The sequence below is a fragment of the Homo sapiens genome, chromosome 15 (genome assembly GCF_000001405.40).
Source record: "Homo sapiens chromosome 15, GRCh38.p14 Primary Assembly".
Lineage (NCBI taxonomy): Eukaryota > Metazoa > Chordata > Mammalia > Primates > Hominidae > Homo > Homo sapiens.
In genome coordinates this window covers 70,098,115-70,117,818 of record NC_000015.10, presented here as the reverse complement: position 1 = coordinate 70,117,818, position 19,704 = coordinate 70,098,115, and the positions used below count along the sequence as shown (strand labels likewise).

General features: G+C 48.4%; 10 annotated features.

The window, feature by feature from the left end:
* Positions 4,215–4,509: an enhancer, noted in NCBI's record as "tiled region #6929; HepG2 Activating non-DNase unmatched - State 21:Repr, and K562 Activating non-DNase unmatched - State 22:ReprW". NCBI's record gives its function as "activates a minimal TATA promoter and a strong SV40 promoter by Sharpr-MPRA in HepG2 and K562 cells {active_cell/tissue: HepG2 | K562}" and the evidence as "EXISTENCE:reporter gene assay evidence [ECO:0000049][PMID:27701403]".
* Positions 5,462–5,971: an enhancer, noted in NCBI's record as "H3K4me1 hESC enhancer chr15:70404187-70404696 (GRCh37/hg19 assembly coordinates)". NCBI's record gives its function as "activates a minimal SCP1, AML or CMV promoter by ChIP-STARR-seq in primed H9 embryonic stem cells {active_cell/tissue: H9 hESC(primed)}" and the evidence as "EXISTENCE:reporter gene assay evidence [ECO:0000049][PMID:30033119]".
* Positions 5,972–6,483: an enhancer, noted in NCBI's record as "NANOG-H3K4me1 hESC enhancer chr15:70403675-70404186 (GRCh37/hg19 assembly coordinates)". NCBI's record gives its function as "activates a minimal SCP1, AML or CMV promoter by ChIP-STARR-seq in primed H9 embryonic stem cells {active_cell/tissue: H9 hESC(primed)}" and the evidence as "EXISTENCE:reporter gene assay evidence [ECO:0000049][PMID:30033119]".
* Positions 6,996–7,507: an enhancer, noted in NCBI's record as "H3K4me1 hESC enhancer chr15:70402651-70403162 (GRCh37/hg19 assembly coordinates)". NCBI's record gives its function as "activates a minimal SCP1, AML or CMV promoter by ChIP-STARR-seq in primed H9 embryonic stem cells {active_cell/tissue: H9 hESC(primed)}" and the evidence as "EXISTENCE:reporter gene assay evidence [ECO:0000049][PMID:30033119]".
* Positions 17,217–17,316: a silencer, noted in NCBI's record as "silent region_6607". NCBI's record gives its function as "represses an Ori minimal core promoter by ATAC-STARR-seq in GM12878 lymphoblastoid cells {active_cell/tissue: GM12878}" and the evidence as "EXISTENCE:reporter gene assay evidence [ECO:0000049][PMID:35858748]".
* Positions 17,545–18,582: an enhancer, noted in NCBI's record as "VISTA enhancer hs359". NCBI's record gives its function as "enhancer in: heart[4/9]" and the evidence as "EXISTENCE:transgenic organism evidence [ECO:0001131][PMID:17130149]".
* Positions 18,575–18,724: a silencer, noted in NCBI's record as "silent region_6606". NCBI's record gives its function as "represses an Ori minimal core promoter by ATAC-STARR-seq in GM12878 lymphoblastoid cells {active_cell/tissue: GM12878}" and the evidence as "EXISTENCE:reporter gene assay evidence [ECO:0000049][PMID:35858748]".
* Positions 18,575–19,644: a biological region, named in NCBI's record as "NANOG-H3K27ac hESC enhancer GRCh37_chr15:70390514-70391488".
* Positions 18,670–19,644: an enhancer, noted in NCBI's record as "NANOG-H3K27ac hESC enhancer chr15:70390514-70391488 (GRCh37/hg19 assembly coordinates)". NCBI's record gives its function as "activates a minimal SCP1, AML or CMV promoter by ChIP-STARR-seq in naive H9 embryonic stem cells {active_cell/tissue: H9 hESC(naive)}" and the evidence as "EXISTENCE:reporter gene assay evidence [ECO:0000049][PMID:30033119]".
* Positions 18,795–18,874: a silencer, noted in NCBI's record as "silent region_6605". NCBI's record gives its function as "represses an Ori minimal core promoter by ATAC-STARR-seq in GM12878 lymphoblastoid cells {active_cell/tissue: GM12878}" and the evidence as "EXISTENCE:reporter gene assay evidence [ECO:0000049][PMID:35858748]".

The window sequence follows — 19,704 nt, the reverse complement described above, 5'->3', positions numbered from 1 at the left end:
CCATTTTGAAATCAGGTCGTTTGTTTTCCAATTGTTAAGTTTTAAGAGTTCTTTGTATATTTTGATTAACAGTCCTTTATCAGATATGTGTTTTGCAAATATTTTCTCTCAGTCTGTGGCTTGTCTTCTTATTCTTTTGATAAATTAAATTTTTTACTATCAAGACACTCACGATACATACATCATGTTGATAACACAGATCGCAATAAAAGAAAAATATTCTTGATTATATTCCTCCAAGGATGATGATAATAATGATGATAGTAATGACTGTTCTCATCTTTGAAACCCTCACTATGTTCTGGGCCCTTGGCAATTGTCTCATGTGACCCCACCACAGAACCTTGTGTGGTAGGTATTACTATCCTCATTTTGCAGATGCTACAAAGGAGGCTCAAATAAATTAAGTGGCGAGACCAAGATTTCATGCTAGTGAGCAGCGGGGCCAGTATTCAAACTGAGCACTGTCAGCCCCATGGTCCTTGCTCTGAATGCTACAGTTTCAGCCTGTGCCATTTTCGTCTTCCACCTCCCATAGTTGGAGACTTCAGTATACAGTTCATGTCTCTCCCGCCCCCAGAACTTCTTTGATTCTTACTATCTTATTTCAACTTCAGGATCTTCCTAGAAGATGGACATTCTTAAAGAAGAACTAATTGAGACTCTAAGAGGTTAAATGACTTACTTACAGTCACACAGCCAGCCAGCGGGTGACTTCAGCTAAGCTGCTTTCCCAAGCCACATCCCAAGCTCCTAGACCCCACAGTCCAACTTTTCCCACTACTTTGACCCAGAAAAATTGTCCCTGGATTGCTGCTGTCATTCCTGTCCTGCTTCCCCCCTCCCCCATACTCTCTCCCATCATTTTTCTGTGCCTACTGGAGGAAACATTCTAAACTGCCAAGCCAATCAGGGCTCTCCCTGGTGCCAGTCATCCTGCCTTCCATCAATCCTCAAGAGGAAACAGCAACTCCCTGGGATGGCACGCCAGGCCACAGCACCCTACCTAACTCTTTTGCCTCTGCAGCCACAGCCCCCACCCTCCACATGCCCTTCTTGGCTGAGCCAAACCCCCTGCATCTGCTCTTCCTTGAACCTCCAGGGCTCTGCCCACATTACTTCTCGGGCTGGCATGCTTTCTCCTCCTGCTCTCCACCTGAGCCAGCCTCCTCACCCACCATGGCATGAAAAGGAGCTCTCTTTCGCCAAGCACTGACTCTCATCACTGGCAGTGCCAAGTACTTTATTTGCATTTTATTTAAATCACATAATAATTTGGTGGCAGGCGTCATTAGCCCCATTTTACAGAGGAGTAAGCTGAGGTTTAAGAGGTGTTAAGTAACTTGGCTAAGGCTACATGGTGGATAAGTGGCAGAGGTGGAACTTGAAACTTTGTCTGTCTAACTTTACATACAAGGGTCTTGACTTCATTAGTGACCCCCATGCTCCCAAGCCCTCCCCACCCCCTACCCCAGATTGCTCCCATAACACCTATGCATTTCTCCGTGATTACACTTCATGACGCTCTTTTTTTTAAAGGACTTTAAAAAAAATCAGTTTTAGGTTTACAGAAAAATCAAGCAGAAAGTAGAATTCCCCAACACCCTTTCACTTCACCCCCAGTTTCCCCCGTTACTAACATCTTGCATTAGCATAGTACATTTACTATAATTGATGAACCCATAGTGATACATGATTAGGTGAAGTCCACAGTTTACATTAGGGTTCACTCTTGATATTGTACATTCTTTGGATTTTGACAAATGTATAAAGTGTCACACAAAGTAGTTGCTCTGTCCTGAAACTCTCCAGTGGTCCACCTATTCATCCCTCCCTTCCCTTTAACCCTTGACAGCCTCTGATCCTTTTCCTGTGTCCATAGTTTTGCCTTTCCCAGAATGTCATCTAGCTGGAATCATACAGCCTTTTCACACTGGCTTCTTTCACTTAGTAATATGCATTTAAAGTCTCTCCCTGTAATTTCATGACTTAATAGCTCATATCTTTCTTTTATCCCTGAATAACATTCCATTGTCTGGATGTACCACAGTTGGTTCATTCATTTACCCATTGAAGGGCATCTTGGTTGTTTTCAAGTTTGGGCAATTACAAAGCTGCTGTAAATGTCCCTGTGCAGGTTTTTGTGTGGATATAAGTTTTTAACTCATTTGGATAAATACCAAAGAGCACAACTGCTACAGCAGCAACATCCTCTCTTACACAACACCACCCATCCTCTCCGGACCCCAGCCAAAGAACTCTCGGAAGCAGAGAATGTGTCTTGTCCTTCTCCATCTCCAAGACTTACATATCATGGGTCCTCAATAAATATCTGCTGAAACGAAAAATGCAAACAGACAATCATATACCTCGGATTTTCCAGGACATTTTAAATTTCATATTATTTTATTCTTTGCAACAAAAATGATTTAATATAAGCATAACCAAATAAAAATGAAAAATGCCTATGTAAGGCTTTCTATATTAAAACATTTCACGAACAGTTTTTTTTTAATGCATCCTTTGCTAGATACTGACTCTTGCCTTGGGATTCCAAATATGCAGTTGCCAGAGGGATGGTGAGAGGGACCTAGGCTGGGCATCAGACCTCGGTCACGTCCCTTGCCCACATGGGGCCATCATGTCCTCCTATGACACAAACACAGGCTGTTCTAGGAATCCCTGTCAGATGAGCCTCCCCATCCCACCTACCACTCTCCAGGGAAGGCAGGGGATTAGAAGGGGAGAAGGCCAGGTCTCTGTTAGCTGAGGTCCCACTCACAGAATGGGGCCCCAGGCCCCAGCAACAGGAAGGAAGAGGTAGGAGTACCCTTAAGCCCTTTCACTGAGAATAACAGTCATGTTCATTTTAACACATTGATCATGAGAACATTCATGTTCTTGATGGATTGATTTAATTATTATACAGCTCATTGATTTAGGGACTGTTATCTACATCACTGATCTCCAAGACTTTTGGCACCAGGGACCAGTTTCATGGGAGATAATTTTTCCACGGACGGGATGGCGATGGTTTTGGAATGAAACTGTTCCACCTCGAATCATCAGGCATTAGATTCTCATAAGGAGCACACAACCTAGAGCCCTCGAATACACAGTTCACAATAGGATTCACACTTCTACGAGAATCTAATGCTGCCGCTGATCTGACGGAAGGCAGAGCTCAGGCAATAATGCTTGCTCATCTCCTGCTGGGTCTCCCTGTTCCTAACAGGCCCATGGCCAGATACTGGTCCACAGCCCGGGGGTTCGGGACCCCTGATCCACATTCATAGATTCAGTTCCACCCACAAATATTTATTGAGTGCATACCACAGGCAAAGGCTCTGTTTTAGGGCTGCAGCAGTGAACAAGACAGACAGAGTCTCTGGCTGCCTCATGGAGATGGCATTCCCCACTGCAGGAGACAGACAGTGAGCAATCACGGGTTGTTAAAAGGTGAAAGTGCTAACAAAGAAACAAAAAGTAGAGCAGGGAGTAGGGTGAGCAGTGGTGGAGGTGGAATGGGACTGACTCCAGTATGGTAGGCCATGTTCAAAAGGTGAGGTTCTTAGCAAGATGTGAAAGAAGAGGGAGAGAAAGTTAGCCAAGAAAACCTTGCAGGCAGAAGGATCAACCAGTGTGAAGGCCAGAGGCGGGGCTGGATCTGGCACAGAGGAGGGGGTGAGTGGAGTGAGCGAGGCAGAGGGGCAGAGGACAATGGGGACAGGTCCTCTCCATGATCTGTTTGTGGCCCACCAGGCCACTGAAGGACTTGGGCTTTTCTTGGCTAGAAATGGGAAGACAGGGCAGGGTTTGGAGCAGAGGACTGACATGATCATCCTGACTCCTCAGTTGAGCGCAGACTACACGGAGGGGTGGAAGGGTGAAAACACAGAGGCATGTTAGGGGCTGCAAGAGTCTGCCAGCAGAGGCAATACTGTGGCTGGGACCTGCTGGTAGCAGCAGAGTGGGTGACAAGAGGTGGGACTGGGGATCTGGTTGGACAGTAGAGCCGTCATGATTCCCTGATGAGACTGGTGTCCACTTTAAAGGTCTAGGGGGGAAGCCCTTACCTAAGCCCTGTACTTGGGCAGCCCTGCGCATGGCCCATGGGAAATGGGAGATTCCAGACCTGCTTCTTTGCCAGGTAGGCTGCTGATGCTGGGGCCACCCAGAGACGGAAAGCACCTGGTACAACTCCCCTTCTCCGGAGTGCATGGGCCCCAATCCCAGTTCCTCTTGGCCTTACTGTCAATGGCACAATGATGGTAGCTTCCTATTGCACTCCCCAGAAGCTGACCTCCCAGTCACCCGGCCCCAGCATTCCAGTTAAAGAGGAAGCAGACAGGGCCGGAAGTCGAACTCGTGCCCCAGCATCCTCATACCCAGCCAGGAGCTGGGGCCTCAGGAGGGTTGGTGGGGAGAGCAGGGGAAGGGGTTCCTCTCAGCACGATTGAAATAATGTGTGTCTAGCCATTGAGCTAGGTGGTGTTTGCATGTAAGGTCAGAATGCCAGCCTCTCCTGGAAACAGCACTGGCCTTTGACTCGAAGATCTACGCAATCGAGTCCTGTTCTGCAGTTATTAGCTACCTGATGATGAGTACATCAGGAAACCATTCGGGTCTCTATTGCATCATCCTTAAAATGGGGACAATGGTGGCCATCAGATAAATGCAAATCAAAACCACAATGAGATATCATCTCACACCAGTTAGAATGGCAATCATTAAAAAGTCAGGAAACAACAGGTGCTGGAGAGGATGTGGAGAAATAGGAACACTTTTACACTGTTGGTGGGACTGTAAACTAGTTCAACCATTGTGGGAGTCAGTGTGGCGATTCCTCAGGGATCTAGAACTAGAAATACCATTTGACCCAGCCATCCCATTACTGGGTATATACCCAAAGGACTATAAATCATGCTGCTATAAAGACACATGCACACGTATGTTTATTGCGGCACTATTCACAGTTGCAAAGACTTGGAACCAACCCAAATGTCCAACAATGATAGACTGGATTAAGAAAATGGCACATATACACCATGGAATACTATGCAGCCATAAAAAATGATGAGTTCATGTCCTTTGTAGGGACATGGATGAAATTGGAAATCATCATTCTCAGTAAACTATCGCAAGAACAAAAAACCAAACACCGCATATTCTCACTCATAGGTGGGAATTGAACAATGAGAACACATGGACACAGGAAGGGGAACATCACACTCTGGGGACTGTTGTGGGGTGGGGAGGGAGGGGGAGGGAGAGCATTGGGAGATATACCTAATGCTAGATGACGAGTTAGTGGGTGCAGCGCACCAGCATGTCACATGTATACATATGTAACTAACCTGCACATTGTGCACATGTACCCTAAAACTTAAAGTATAATAATAAAAAATAATAATAAATAAATAAATAAATAAATGGGGACAATGGTGTCTATCCAAGAGAGCTGTAAGGGAGCAGAGATGTGAAACCACTTCACAAACTGGAAAATGCTGCACGAAGGTCAGATGAATGCTCACAGCCTGGGGGAGAGACCACATGTGCCCAGCTAAACGTGGAGCAGGACAGCCTGGGATGGGGGCGTCAGACACAAGTAAAGATACCATGCTAGCCTAGAGAGGGAGGTGACTCATTCTGACTAAGGGGGTACAGACAGCAAAGGTTTCACAGAAGAAAAAAGGATCTTGAAGAATGGATGGGTTCAAATAGAGAAGAAACGATATTCCAGGTAGAGGGAGCAGCATGGGCAAAGGTCTGAGGTGTGAAAGTGCACAGTATATGTCCGCAGGGAGCGATGGAATGATTCTGAGCAGGGGAATGGCAGAACCCAATTTGCTTAGAGGTCACCCTGGTTCCTAGGGAGGGATGGAGTGGAATTGCTAGGGCTGGCTGAGCAATACTGAGGCTTCAGCCAGCTGCACTCTCCAGAGGAGAGGGGAGCCCGCCCAGGTTCCCCCCGCAGTCTGGATCTGCGTGGGGGAAAGGCAGATGGAAGTGGAAAGCTAGTGAGGGTGGGAGCCTGAGCCAGGCTGAGCCAGCTGGCTGCCCCCTCCCCCTCCCCCCAAGCCTCCCTCTGCCCCAGCCCACCCCCAGCCCCTGGGAGCCTGAAGACCTGTTTGTTTTCCTTGTAAAGAGGGGAGCCCTGCCCTTTGTGAGATTTCTGCTTGGGAAGGAGCGAAATGTCTGCTTGTGCTGCTGCCTGGATTTCCAGCTATTGACAGAGACTCTGACAATGAAAGCAAAGGCCAAGAGAGGCAGAGACAAGGCGGCTGATTAAAATGTTCTTCCAGGGGGTAGTTCAGCCCTGCCCAGGGAAGGCTGGCTGGAAAACCCGTACTGGAGTCCTTTCCTCCAGAGCTGTAGGCCCAGTTCATGGTGGGGCTGTGAAAATAGTTGAGGAGTTTCTGCACCCCACCCCAATCCAGCTGATCCAGCTCCCAAATCCACTGCTGTTGTTCCACTCCTCCCTTAATAACCAGGGTCACTCATAGGACCAGAATTTGAGGCTCAGTGTTCTGTTTCTAAAATGAGGGCAATGATAGTGCCCATTTGGTGGGGTTTGTTATAGGTCAGGTTCTCCAAAGCACAGACTGAGATGGAGCAGAGTTGCCGATGAAAATATAGGACACCCAGTACAATTTGAATTTCAGATAAACAACGAGTGATTTTTTTTTTTTAGTATAAGTATGTCCCATGCAATATTTGGGACATAGTTATACTAAAAAAAAATTCATTGTTTAAAGGAAATTCAAATGTAACTGGGTGTCCTGTATTTTTATTTGCTAAATCTGGCGACCATAAAGTGGAGAATATTCCCATGCAGGGGACTCACTGGGGAGTGTTTCATTGCCAGCGCCTCACCTGGAGGCAGGATGGGGCATAGGGAAAAGTAGATAGGGCTTGATGAAGTCACAACAATGTCCCCGCGACCCCACGGGGAGCTCTGGATCTCGGTTGGCCCTTCAGAGCTGCCTCAAAAGGGCTGGGGCACGAGGCCTCCCGGGACCCTCACATCCTAGCATCATTTGAGGCTGGCTTTCCTGGGGAGGCAGCTGGCTGTCTTCTGCTGAAGTGGTCTCAGCTCAGTGTTTTCCTTTCCCAATACTCTCTGCAGCTGGGGCATGGGGCTTCAGTGCTGAGGGGGTTCTGCGTGCAGCAATCATGACCCTGTTGTTACACAGTTTGATGAGACAATTGTGTAAATGGCTTAGCTCAAGGCTGACACCTACAAGTCAGTCATTTTAGTATCCCCTGAATAAAGGCCAGGTCACTTAGCCTGGCTCTCAACCCATGAGCCATCCAGGGCCAAGTTATCTGCTCTTCTGATCTCCCTCAGCCCCTTTTGGGAGCCCTTTCCAAAATCATGTATGTTAGAGTACCATCTGGGAAGGGGTCCATGTCCCCCATGGGTTGATGACCCCACGTGTGGATCCTCTCTATACCTCAATTCTGCGGACCCCAACCAATAGTATTACAGAGATCTTCTGAAGATCCATTCTGAAGCCCAGCCCTATAGACACAGTCGTGGGGGCTTTGTTCTTGTTCAGTCTGTGTCTGGCCTCATTCTTGTCTGAGTTAGAAGTTACAAGTCTGCAGTTAATTAGGCTGGAGAGGAGCTTCTCATCATTGGCTAAAAGAGGAACCCTGTGTGCCAACTGTGGAGGGCAGCCTGGTTCTGGCTCCCATTCTCTCTGGGTTTGGCCTCCATAGAGAGGGAGGCTGCAGGCAGGTGGGCTGGGGCTGCCTGCATGTTTGGCCCTTGCTGGCTTTGGAGGAGTGTCTCCCTACCTCTCACCCCCTACACACACATTCAGGTCTACTGAAAACCCACCCACCTCTGCATTCTCCTTTTTCGAGGACTCCAGGAACCCTTTGATGAACATTGACTTCTAACATTGAGGCCTCTGGCTCCCCAGCTTCCCATCTTTCTGTGTCTCCCATTAATGTGAGACATATTTAAATTCTGGGAGCAGAGAATCTGGCTCTAGGTAGAAAAGCGTCCAAGCTTGGATTTAGATAAAGAGGCTGAGGAGTCTGAACACATTGAGACCAAGCGGTTGATGTGTCCTCATTCATTCAGAATCACTCACAGTCATTGAAGGCTTGCTGCCAGCTGCGTTATCTTGCTTAATTCTCACAACAACCCTGTGAGCAAGGCTCTAGCATTATCCCAATTTTACAGATGAGGAAACTGAGGCTTAGCAAAAACAAGTGTCTTGCCTAAGGTCCTAAAGCAAAAAAGCTAGGGTGTCAGGATTCCAACTTGTATATCTGCAAGTAGCACTTAAGCTCTGAGTAGCAGGCTGTGCCTAGGTTGCGTGGAGTCACCTGTTCATGTATATGCTTAATGGCCTTGTGTCATCATTACATTCAATATCACTACTCTAATAAAACAGATAAACATCAAGGAAACATAAATGACCCCAAAAAGCCTCAGTCAGGCAGAGATTGGCACAGTAGGGAGGTCTGCTGGAAGAAGCAGGAGTGTATCAGTCAGAGGCCAGGTGCTGGGAACAAGAATCACCCCAGCTATTGAAACAGACATTTAATAGAAGCAATTAGTATCTTAAGCTAGAGGAGAGGCCTGGGGGCTTGGCCTGCAGGAACTAGAATTCCACAGAACTCACCTGCCAGAGTCGCTGCCTCCTTTTATTTATTTTTTTAAATCCTAGTAAAAAACACATAATATAAAATTTATCATCTTAATCATTTTTAAGTATAGAACTCAATAGTAACTATATTCCTGTTGTTGTGCAACAGATTTTTGGACTTTTCATCTTGCAAAACCTAAACTCTCTGCTAATTGAACAATAACGCCCCATACCTCTCTCCCACCCGCCCCTGACAACCATCATTCTAATTTCTGTTTCTATGAGTTTGATTACTTTAGATTCCTCAAATAAGTGAAATTATACAGTATTTGTCTTTTTGTGGCTTTCTTATTTCACTTAGTATCATGTTCTCAAGGTTCATACATGTTGTAGCATGTGACAGAATTTTCTTCCTTTTTAGAGCTGAAAAATATGTCATTGTGTGTCTATACACACACACACACACACACATCCACATCACATCACATTTTCTTTATTCACTTATCTGTCAGTGGACATTTAGGATGCTTCCACCTCTTGGCTATTGTGAACAATGCTACCATGAACATGGGTATGCAAATATCTCTTTAAGATTCTATTTTCAATTCCTTTGTATATATACTCGGAAGTGGGATTGCTGGGTCATATGTAATTCTATTTGTAATTTTTTGAGGAACCTGCATACTGTTTTCCATATAGGCTGTACCATTTTATATTCCCACCAACAATGCACCAAGGGTCGAATCTCTCCACACCCTTATCAACAATTCTTTTTTTAAATAGCAGCCATCCCAATGGGGGTGAGGTGATATTGCATTGTGGTTTTGATTTGCATTCCCCTAATAATTAGTAATGTTGAGCACCTTTTCATATGTTTGTTGGCCATTTGTATATCTTCTTTGGAAAAATGTCTTTCCTTTGCCCATTTTTTGACTGAGTTATTTGGTTTTTTATTATTCAGTTGTAGGAGTTCTTTATATATTCTAGATATTAACTCCTTATAGATATGTGATTTGCAAATATTTCTCCCATTCCATTCTGTAGGTTGCTTTTTCCCTCTTTTTTTTTTTTTTTTTTTTTTTTTTTTTTTTGAGATAGGGTCTCACTCCAGTTGCCTAGGGTGAAGTTCAACAGCGAGATCATGGCTCACTGCAGCCTCAACCTCCTGGGATCAGATGATTCTCTCACCTTAGCCTCCTGAGTAGCTGGAACTACAGGTGTGCACGACCATGCCCGGCTACTTTGTGTGTGTGCCTGTGTGTATGTATGTGTATTTTTGTAGAGATGGGGTTTCTCCATGTTGCCCAGGCTGGTCTTGAACTCCTGGGCTCAAGCAATCCTACCACCTCAGCCTCCCAAAGTGCTGGGAATACAGGTGTGAACCACCACACCCGGCCCCCTTTTCCCCTCTTTTAATCTATTCCTTTCATGCAAAGAAGTTTTTAAGTTCTAGTCCCATTTGTCTATTTTTGCTTTTGTTGCCTGTGATTTTGGCATTACTGCCAACACATCATTGCCAACTCCAATGTCGCAAAGATTTCCCCTATGTTTTCTTCTAGGGGTTTTATAGGGTCAGAGGGCTGCCTCTTCCAGTATAGTCAGAAAGATAGGGAAATAGATGGTGGCCTCGAGAACTTCTGACTTCAGGAAGGTCTGTCATCAAAATTCAGAGCTGAGAGAGTTGCACCCTCCACCCACACAACTTAACGCTTGACGTTTTTGAAGGTAGTGGCTGGATACTGGAACATAGGTGCAGAAAAACTCACCATCTCCGCAAACACATCACCAGCCAGAAAGAACAGGTAGCCAGAGATGGTCTCTGTCTTACTGCTGCTCTCCCATCTTGCTTGGGTGGATCTAATGGGAGAGTCATGTTTACTTCAGAACCCTTCCAGTGAGTGAGTCTAGAAGCATAATTTTCAGCTGTCAGTCTCTGCAGTGTAGAACATATCCAGTGAGGAGGTTCAAATGGAAGACAAGTGCCAGGAGGCCAAGGTAATAAATTAGGTGATGTATTAGGAAGTGCCAGGCCCCTACTTAGTAGAGAGCAGAGCATTATTTCACTGGGACCTACCTGGCATGAAGGAAAGGCGGGTTAGTGAGGCAGGATAGTATTGGGTAGGGTAATGCAATGGTGATGGGCACAACCTCTGCAGCTCAACAGGGCTTACACGGAATCCCAGGCCCACCACGCATGAGCGGTATGACTTGGCTAGGTTATTCCATCTCTCTGGGTCTTCCTTTCCTTCTCTGTAAAAGGGTGGGAGGCTGCCCCCAGAATAATCTGTAGCCTTTCCCTTCTGAGCTGTTCAGCCCTTCCACACAGCAAGGCCTGAATTTGAGTCTACTTTCCCTACCAACGAGCTCTGGGGGTATGAATGGGGCCTCTAAGAGTCTCCCTTTTCTAGTAGGCCATTTCACAGGAGCAAATGAGATGTGAAATTAGAGCTAAAAGACTCCCAAAGCACGAGGAAACACAAGATCCTCGGAATGAGGCATCACCAGGACACCTAAACTATAAAACAGATAAAAATTAAGGCTGTTCTGATTGAGGTGGAGGAAGCGATCCCTGTGACCACTCTCTTTACTTCCTCATCTTCTCAGCACTCCCATCAACTTCTGAGGATCCCAGGACCTCCTTAGGGCACAATTTGAAAGCTTGACTGGTTTACAGAAAGAATCAATGCCAATGCCAGAAGGCCTAAGTCTGGTCAGAATTCGCCATCGTCAACTTGTGTGGTGGTGGACAAACTACCTAACCTTCCTTGGCCCTCAGCTTCTTCATCTGCCATGGAGATAATTTTCCCTGCTCTACATGTTGCGTCTTAACTAGAAACCCACAGACACGACAATGCTTTAAGCAGAAAACACAAGACAAAAGTAAGATGGCGTTGGTTTTGTTTGTACCTTGCTTCATACTATAGATTTTTTGTGGTAGGTTAGTGGTCAAATAATAAGTTGGACCTCCAGGCCCTCAAAATTGAGTCTTTTTTTTTTTCAGTTCCACTCCAACATCAAAATCTATAGTCATCTATGTGCCTTTCTTACAAGTGAAGCCCCTTTGCCCCTTTTCTTGCCCCCATTTCTCTCTACTTCCAGAACTCCCAGGTCCACCTGCAGCCTGGACCTTCAGAGTCCCCATCAGTCTCTTGTGTTTGCCCCCCAACCTTGTTCCAACCCACCCCTCTCTGGTTGCCCCATCTCCCTCTTGCAGAACCTCAACTTCAGGAAGGGCACTCCCCAAAAAGGCAAAAAATACCCCATCACCAGTCCACTCCTCCCTGCCAAACTCCATACAACCTAACTGCATTTAGCCTTCCACCCTGACATCTTTCAGGGATGTGCCAACAGCAACTTTTGTGACTATTTTCCAATGTTACGCAGGCACCTAATGGCCCTGGGCTGTAGTCCCCACTTGGAGGAGCTGCCAGAGGATCCCAGGACTTCTCTAGCATTAGCTCTTCATAAAGAGACTTTATCTGAATGACTAGATAATTGCTAACTTGTAGAGCAATCTTTAAAATGGCTCAAATACTGCACAAGGCAGGAACCTAGAGCTGGGGGTATTTGAATTACTTTCTAGTAGAGAGGGCACTGAGAGTAGAGGACAGAGGATAGGCTTTGGAGACAGAGGGGCCTGGGCTCACCAATCAGCTTCTTCCCTTCCTGAACATGTGACACTTTCCTTCCTGTATCTCAGTTTACTCATCTGCAAAATAGGGACATAGAGAATGGCACTATCTTTTTTTTATTATTATTATACTTTAAGTTTTAGGGTCCATGTGCATAACATGCAGGTTTGTTACATATGTATACATGTGCCATGTTGGTGTGCTGCACCTATTAACTCGTCATTTAACATTAGGTATTTCTCCTAATGCTATCCCTCCCCCCTCCCCCCACCCCACAACAGGCCCCAGGGTGTGATGTTCCCCTTCCTGTGTCCATGTGTTCTCATTGTTCAATTCCCACCTATGAGTGAGAACACGTGATGTTTGGTTTTTTGTCCTTGTGATAGTTTGCTGAGAATGATGGTTTCCAGCTGACAATGACACTATTTATTAAGATTACATGAGATAGTATATGTCAGGATCTCTCAACTTCAGGACTATTGGCATTTGGGGCTGGATAATTCTTAGTTGAGGAGGGTGTTCTGTGCATTGCAGGATGTTTAGAGGCATCTCTGTTCTGTACCCAAAGGCACTGCTACCCTGAGTTGTGAAAACCAAAAATATCTCCAGATATTGCCCAAATTCCCCTTGGAAGCAAAATCACCCTGAGTTAAGAGCCACTGGTGTAAGAGAACACGCTTGATACAAAATCAGGCTCTCACTATTGCTGGATGTATGTGACAAACTCACGTTTATAAATTCATTTATTAAAAAGATACAAAGCTGATAACAGATCTGAGAGTGAAAATCAAATCTGTCAGGCAAATACCCTCTCATCTCTCGTTCCCTCCCCATTCCCCATCCCAACTCAGAACCTCCATCAAAGACCAGGTATGCCGGGCACGAATTCTACCTAAATGATCCATACTGACCCCAGAACTCCCCTCCACTGGCGTGGATAATTCTTACAGCGTGGGCCTCCACCCTTGTGAAGTTGAATGCATTAATACCAGCAAAATATTTCTTAATCTCCTAAGCCTCAGCTTTGAATCCTTAAAAAGGAACGAAAGAAACAGCACAAATCTCTTAATTAGAATGCCCAATCACTTCGATAAATATTTACCCGGTTCGGGCATGAGGCATGGAAACCCTGTGCCATTAGTCAATAGAGGTCAGCAAAGTGCACCTTGGGAACAGTGGGATGCAATTCAGCTCAACTTTGGAGCGGGTGTAGGGGAGAATGTTTCCAGGCTTATGCTTCTGCTAAAGACAGGTGAACAAACACATTCCATGCCTACCCTGCACACCTGCCCCCCCACAAAGTCTCAGGTGGGCATGAGGGCCTCATTGTAAATCATCGCCTGGTAGTCTGGCTTCCAAAGCTTTCTGGAGAGAGGCAGTGGCTTCCTCTGCTAGTTGGGCCATGGAGCAAACCAAACCATTCCCCAGTGAGTGTTCTCTGTAGTGCCCTGGCTGGGTACCTTTGCTCCTATCTGGAGCTCTCTTCCTTCCTCCCCTCTGAGCCACAGCAAGGGCCACCCTCTATAGGCAGCTTCCCTAATTGTCCCAGTCCCTCCCCACCCCCACCCTTCTACCCAATACCATTTCCCTGCACAGGCTCTATTTAACTCTGAGGGCCTAGATACAGCCTGGAATACAACCTGGAACTGGGGACAGTCTGGCCTTGTGTATGTTTTCGAAGGCAAGGGCTTTCCTTAGATTTTGGAGGTAAGCTTTCTGCAGATTCTTGCCAGGTAAGAAATTAGGTGCCATTATTCTCATTTTACAGAGGTAAAAATGGAGACCCCAGGAGTTTCGGGGTCTTGCCCAAGATCTTGCAGATCTTCCAGACTCCTGAAGCCCAGGTTGGTGCTGCCACACAGTCCGGATGAGTGGATCCCTCTCTCCTGGCTGTAGTAACCTTCAGAGGCATCCTCACTGGAGCCTGAAATGGGAGTCGGGATAGGGGCAGGGTCTTAGAGAAGCAAGCTCTTAGCTCCGTTCCCCAGGGAATAAAAACAGCTTGTCAGGTGGCAAAACTAAGAAAAGACCAAGGAAGCAGAAACCACCCAGGTGCGGGGTGAGGGGGAAGGGAAGGGTTTCGATAGAAGTATTTGTTCATCCTGTCCCCTCTGCCCACCACAACTTCTGTCCATCCTTTTGAGCTGAGCTCAAGCTCCAGCCTTCCAGGAAGCCCTTCCAGAACCACCCTTCTCACAACTGTTCTCCCCCACTTCATACTTTATAGGCTTACTTTTTGTGGCTTGTCTTCTCAGAAATGCTATGAATATTGCACTGTGGTGGCAGACAGATTTCCCTCTGCCTCTATCCACTCCCACCTCACCCCAGCTTTAGCTTTGAATTGCCCCTCCCCATTCCTTCCTTCCCCTCTCCTGCACACTCCAAGGGTCCTTGGGCTTCAGGGATGCCCAAGGTCATCTGAGGACCATGATAAAGAATGGGATTCCCAGAGAGGGAGAGGAAGGCCCAGTGACCTCGGGAGGGCCTTCCTGAGAGTCCAGAGGAGAGGAGCTGGGTGTTCCCACCTGGGCTTGGCTGTGTCTATGCAGAATAAGGTTGGGGCTGCTGCCTGGCTTGCTCCCCCCAGGGCTGGGATAGAAGACCTTCCTAGCCTCTCCAGGCACGCAGAAAATGTTGGAGGAGTTGAATCACCCAGATAGTTGTACATTATCATCATGGCCACCACAGCTAACTGTTATCGATCACTTAATGTGCCAGGTTCTGTACTAAGTACACTACATGCATTATCTCCATCGATTCTCGGGACAATCCTCCTCAGGTACTGGATTGTTATCTCCACTTTACAGATGAGGAAATGGAGGCTTAGCAAGATTAAATAAGTCCCCCAAGGTCACATAGCTTGAACCAGTCAGAGAATGGGAAGACGAGTTGGGAGACCCTGGGAAGTCCTCTCCTTCCACTAGCCTTGGTCCTCTTCCCTGAGATGAGGTAGCTGCAGGATGAGCTTTATAGGAGCTCCCTCTGGGGCCCTCCAGATTCCTGTGGTCCCTCTTGCAGCCCTGGCCTGCATTCTCAGGAAAGCCAAGCTTGTAGATACAGCAGGGCGTAGTAGGTAAGGGCAGGCACACTGGTGCCCAATTGCCTGGGTCCTGTCCCTGGGACACTGATGCCCAAATGCCTGTGTCCATCAGTCACTGATGTGACCTTGGGCACATCATTGTACCACTGTGTATCAATTTCCCCATCTGTAAAATGGGGCTGATACTCATGGCACCCACTTCATTTCTTGTGTGAGTATTAAATGTGTTCATATTTGTCAAGTGCTTAGAATAGCACTGCACACAGCTTGAGCACTATGTAAGAGTTTGTTAAATAAATAAAAATTTCCCTTTCTTTTGCTCTATGTCGAGGTGCTTGCTTGTGGAGGAAGGTCTGGGATGCCCGGTGAGTGGAGGGGTGGGGGTAGGGGGGACAGAATTACTCTAGTCATGAAGACAAAGCAATTGGGGGAGCCCTATAGAATCAACTGAGGGGGTGTGGCATGGTGAGGGAGATTTCTGTCCTCTCTGAGAAGTTCCAACAAGAGGCTTCCACAAATCAAAGCCAGTGGAGGCAGTAGAGGAAGGGATGACAGGGAGAGGTTTGCAACCCCACCCACGGCACTGTGATCCATTCCTCAAATAGGTGACCACAGCCTGGTGGCTGGCCTGAGCCATACCCTTTAATTCCTAAGGGGGTAAAGCATATACTAACTCAGCTAAAGTGCTTGAAGAATATTTTAAAAGACTCAGAGAAGTGGCTCCTCGGACTGGCAGACAGTTGCTCACCAGCCACCTTGCACCCCAAATAAGGGGCTGGGGGCTGGGGAGCCGCTGCTCTGTAAATCCAGGCCGGGCTTTCTGTCTCACCCGGGTGACTTTTTTTTTTTTTTTTTTTTTTAATGTGCCAGGAATTCCTCTCCCACGTGGGGTGGACTCCGAGGTACTCAATTAAGCAGCCAATGAAAAGTCAGCTCTCCGGTAGCAAATGACCCTGACACTTCTTGTAACATAAACAGTTGAAACGTTTCCAATTAGAACTGGAGACAGAGACGTTTGAACTCTTTCTCTCGACTCCCCTCCTTCTTTAAAATAATTGTCAAGCCTTTGGACGGGGTGTTGTATACATGTTTTTTATTTTCTTTTCTCTTTCTCCAGCATAAAAGACATGTATTTTTCTCCTTGTTTTTCCTAATTTGTGGGGTGGCATGTTGGGGCGGGGTGGGGGGGTGCGGGGAGATAGCGGTGGTAAGCTTAAAGGGATGTTGGCCTGGTTCCTTACCTCCCTGCCCCCTTCCTGCTCAGGGTTCAGGCAGCCGGTGAGAGCGGGGAGTGACGCTGGGTGAGGAGTGAGTGGGAGCTACAGGCAGGAGAGGCCTGTTCTCCCAAAGCCAGGCTCTCAGAAAGGGCTGGGCATGAATGAATGAATGAATGCCTTTTCTTCAGCAAAAACTTGCACGTATCCAGCTTGCGTAAGCAAAGGGGTCGCTGAGGTTGGCCATTAAACTGGCTGCCCTGGATTCGAATCCTGACCCTCTGCCCAGCTTGGGGCAAATGATTGAGCTTTCTCAGCCTCTCTTTTTTGCTCTATAAAATGGGGTCCCCAGCCAAACTGCTTCCCTCGGGAGTGAGGTAAGGGAGAGGAGAGCGCTGCCTGGGTAGCAGTGCCCTGCCTTGTACCTAGTGAGCGCTCAAGCGCTGTTCTTCCTGACTGCGTAGCGTGGTTCTACCGCCCGGCTCTGCGGAGGAGGCGGCGCTCTGCAAAACCGCGTCGGGGACACGCAGCCGCGAACTCCTCCAGCGTGCCGGGCTCGGCCCTGGCGCTGGGGCTCACAGGTGAACTCGACGTGGGTCTGCCCTGCTGGAGCGCTCTGGCTCGTGTGGTCACCGGGGGGCGTGGACGTCGGGGCAGGAGGGACACCCGGGCGAGAGACAGAGCTGCTGTCCTTTTCTGTACACAATCTTCGGAAGACCCGACCTGGGGGCCCCGCGGCTTCTCGGCCGCCTGCTGGCGGGCGCCGTCGGAGCCAGTCCAGAGGGAGACTGAGAGGGAGGCCCGGCGAGGCGCCGCGTCCCTGGCATCTTGAAGGCATTGTGTTTAATAAATCCGAGCGAGACGCACACCCGCTCTCATCCCCCTCTCCTCTCAGCTCCCAAATCGAGACCTGCTGTAGGACCCCCAGTTTACGGGGTCTTAAAACCCCCTCTACTTTGAGTAGCAGCTTCAAAGAGCTCCCTTTAAAGTTCGCCCCCTCCCCCGCCCCCACGTCCCCTTTCACAGGCCACCCCTCCTCCACCACTCCTTCTAGACTTCTGGAGGACGACGACAACAAAACACTAAATGCAAGTTTAAAGGGGGGAGGGGAAAGTCTTCAGGCTTCCTCCAGAACGTGGGCTGTGGAAGTGACCTGTTTCAGGCGTGCGCAGGAGTCGCCACACCGTAGAGTTTGGGTTTTCTTTTTCTTTCTTTTTTTTCCTCTTTTCTTTTCCTTCTTCTTTTTTTTTTTTTTTTTTTTTGTTTGTGTGTGTGTTTTTACCTTTTATTATTTAAATTGATACGTTTCATTACTAGGGAGAAAAATAAAATATTCCTTTGATACACAAAATCAAATTGATATTTAGCCTCTGCTTACTTTTTTATGCATGGCTCCTTTATACCACATGGTAGTGACAGATTGTTTGAGCTGGAAGGAAAAGCCATTCAAAGCTAATTAAGCAGCCATTCCAAGCACTATTTGCAAGCGGGAGGCTCAGAAGCCTCGGCATTTGTCAGCGCTCCCCCACCCCGCGTGGTTTTGACTGACAGCTCTGGCCGCGGACTGACAGGGCCCAGCAGCTCCGCCAATCAGCAACGAAGAGCCCCTTCGGCGGTCCGTGATTGGTGACTCGCACCTTGCTCGGAGGCGTGGTCGGCGTCCCCCACGTGGGGCTGGAGCGAGAAATGGGCGGGGCGAGTAAGAAGCGGGTGCGCCCACCCGTGACGTAAGGGGGAGGGCAGAGAAGGGGGAGGGGGAAAGGAAGCGCCAAAGAGGAGCCATTTTGTTTCTAATGAATGCTGCGGCCAGATGCTCGCATCTGTCGAGCCGGGCTTCTCCCTCCCCCGTCTTCGGTGCGCGCCGAAACACGATTTATGTTTTTATTTAGGAGAATAAATAAATGAAGAGGGGAGCGCGGTTCGGGGCTGGCGGCCGGAGCGGGCGCGGGGAGGTTCAGTTCTGAGGCGGGTGCTCACGTGTAACTCCCCGCGCTCCGGCCTCCGAGCGCCCGCTAGCTCTCAGCTCCTCATTAAGATGCAAAAGCGAACCTCCGGCTCCTAATGAGGGGAAAATATAGATCCGGGGACGCGCGGCCGGCTCGCGCGCGGGCTCGCGGACTTGCCGGGGAGGGCCCCGGGGGTCCCGCCTTGGCCGTCCACCGGGCGGTGCGCGCTTTGAGGTCCACTCCCTGCTTGCTCGTCTGCCCCGCCGTAACCCCGAGCGCGGGAGGGCGAGGCCATCGGTTTGCGGGCAAGCTGGCCCCGGAGTCGAGTGGCCTGTGCGACCAAGCGGGGGGTCCGGGGGGCCCGGGGCCGGGGCGAGCGAGCGGGGGAGCGTCCGCGTCCCTCGGAGTGTCCAGGCTAGCGACCGAGACACCTACAGGCTTCCGCCAACGCCGTGGCACTGCCGGGAGCAGGCTGAGCAAACCAGGTGGGAACTCGGAGTTCCCGGGCCTCGGCCGAGCAGGGTCCCGACCCCATCCCCAACCCCCTCAGCCTGGGGATGCAGTGAGGAGCCCGCGCGGCGAGGCTGCGTCGAGGGTGAAGTTGTGCCCACGGGGAAGGCGCCCCGAATGGGGCCAGCCGTGGCTGAGCCTGTTGTCCACGGGCAGCCGGGCCCTTCCATCTGCGCTGCCCGCCTAGCCAGAGTCCCTCAGACTTCTCCTCGCAGGCAGCCGCCGCACATCAAAGGAGCTGTTTATTTGGCTTTCTGAAAAGAAGGGCGAGTGAACAAAGGAGAGCTGGGGGCTAATGTGGGGGAGGCGGGCAGAAGAAGGGGTGAAGAAAAGGGGACATCCTGAGTTCCGAGCAAATTTTTAAAGGTCGGAGGCAACTTTAGGAGCCACCGTTTTATCAGTCCTAAATCTTTTGAAGTGAAAACATTAAAGTGACAAAGTGATTGTTTGTTTTATAGTATCTAATTGGGCTGCTTTGCAGACCTAATGAGATTAGAGGGAGGAATCGTTCGCCGCCGCTGCAGAATAAACTGATACATTACTACCAGCCACAGGTTTTGAAGATTGTACAGCTTGTCTTATTTTCTTTTGTTGTTATTCCTCTGTCTTCCCTCTTTCCTCCTCCCGCTAAATAATTATTTGCTAGTAGACCGTGGGAAAAAAAAGGAGGAAAAAAACTCGAGCAGCCCAGGACTATAATATATATCTATTTATTATATGTCTTTCGGTTAATTCCTGATCTGAGGAGCGCTGTTT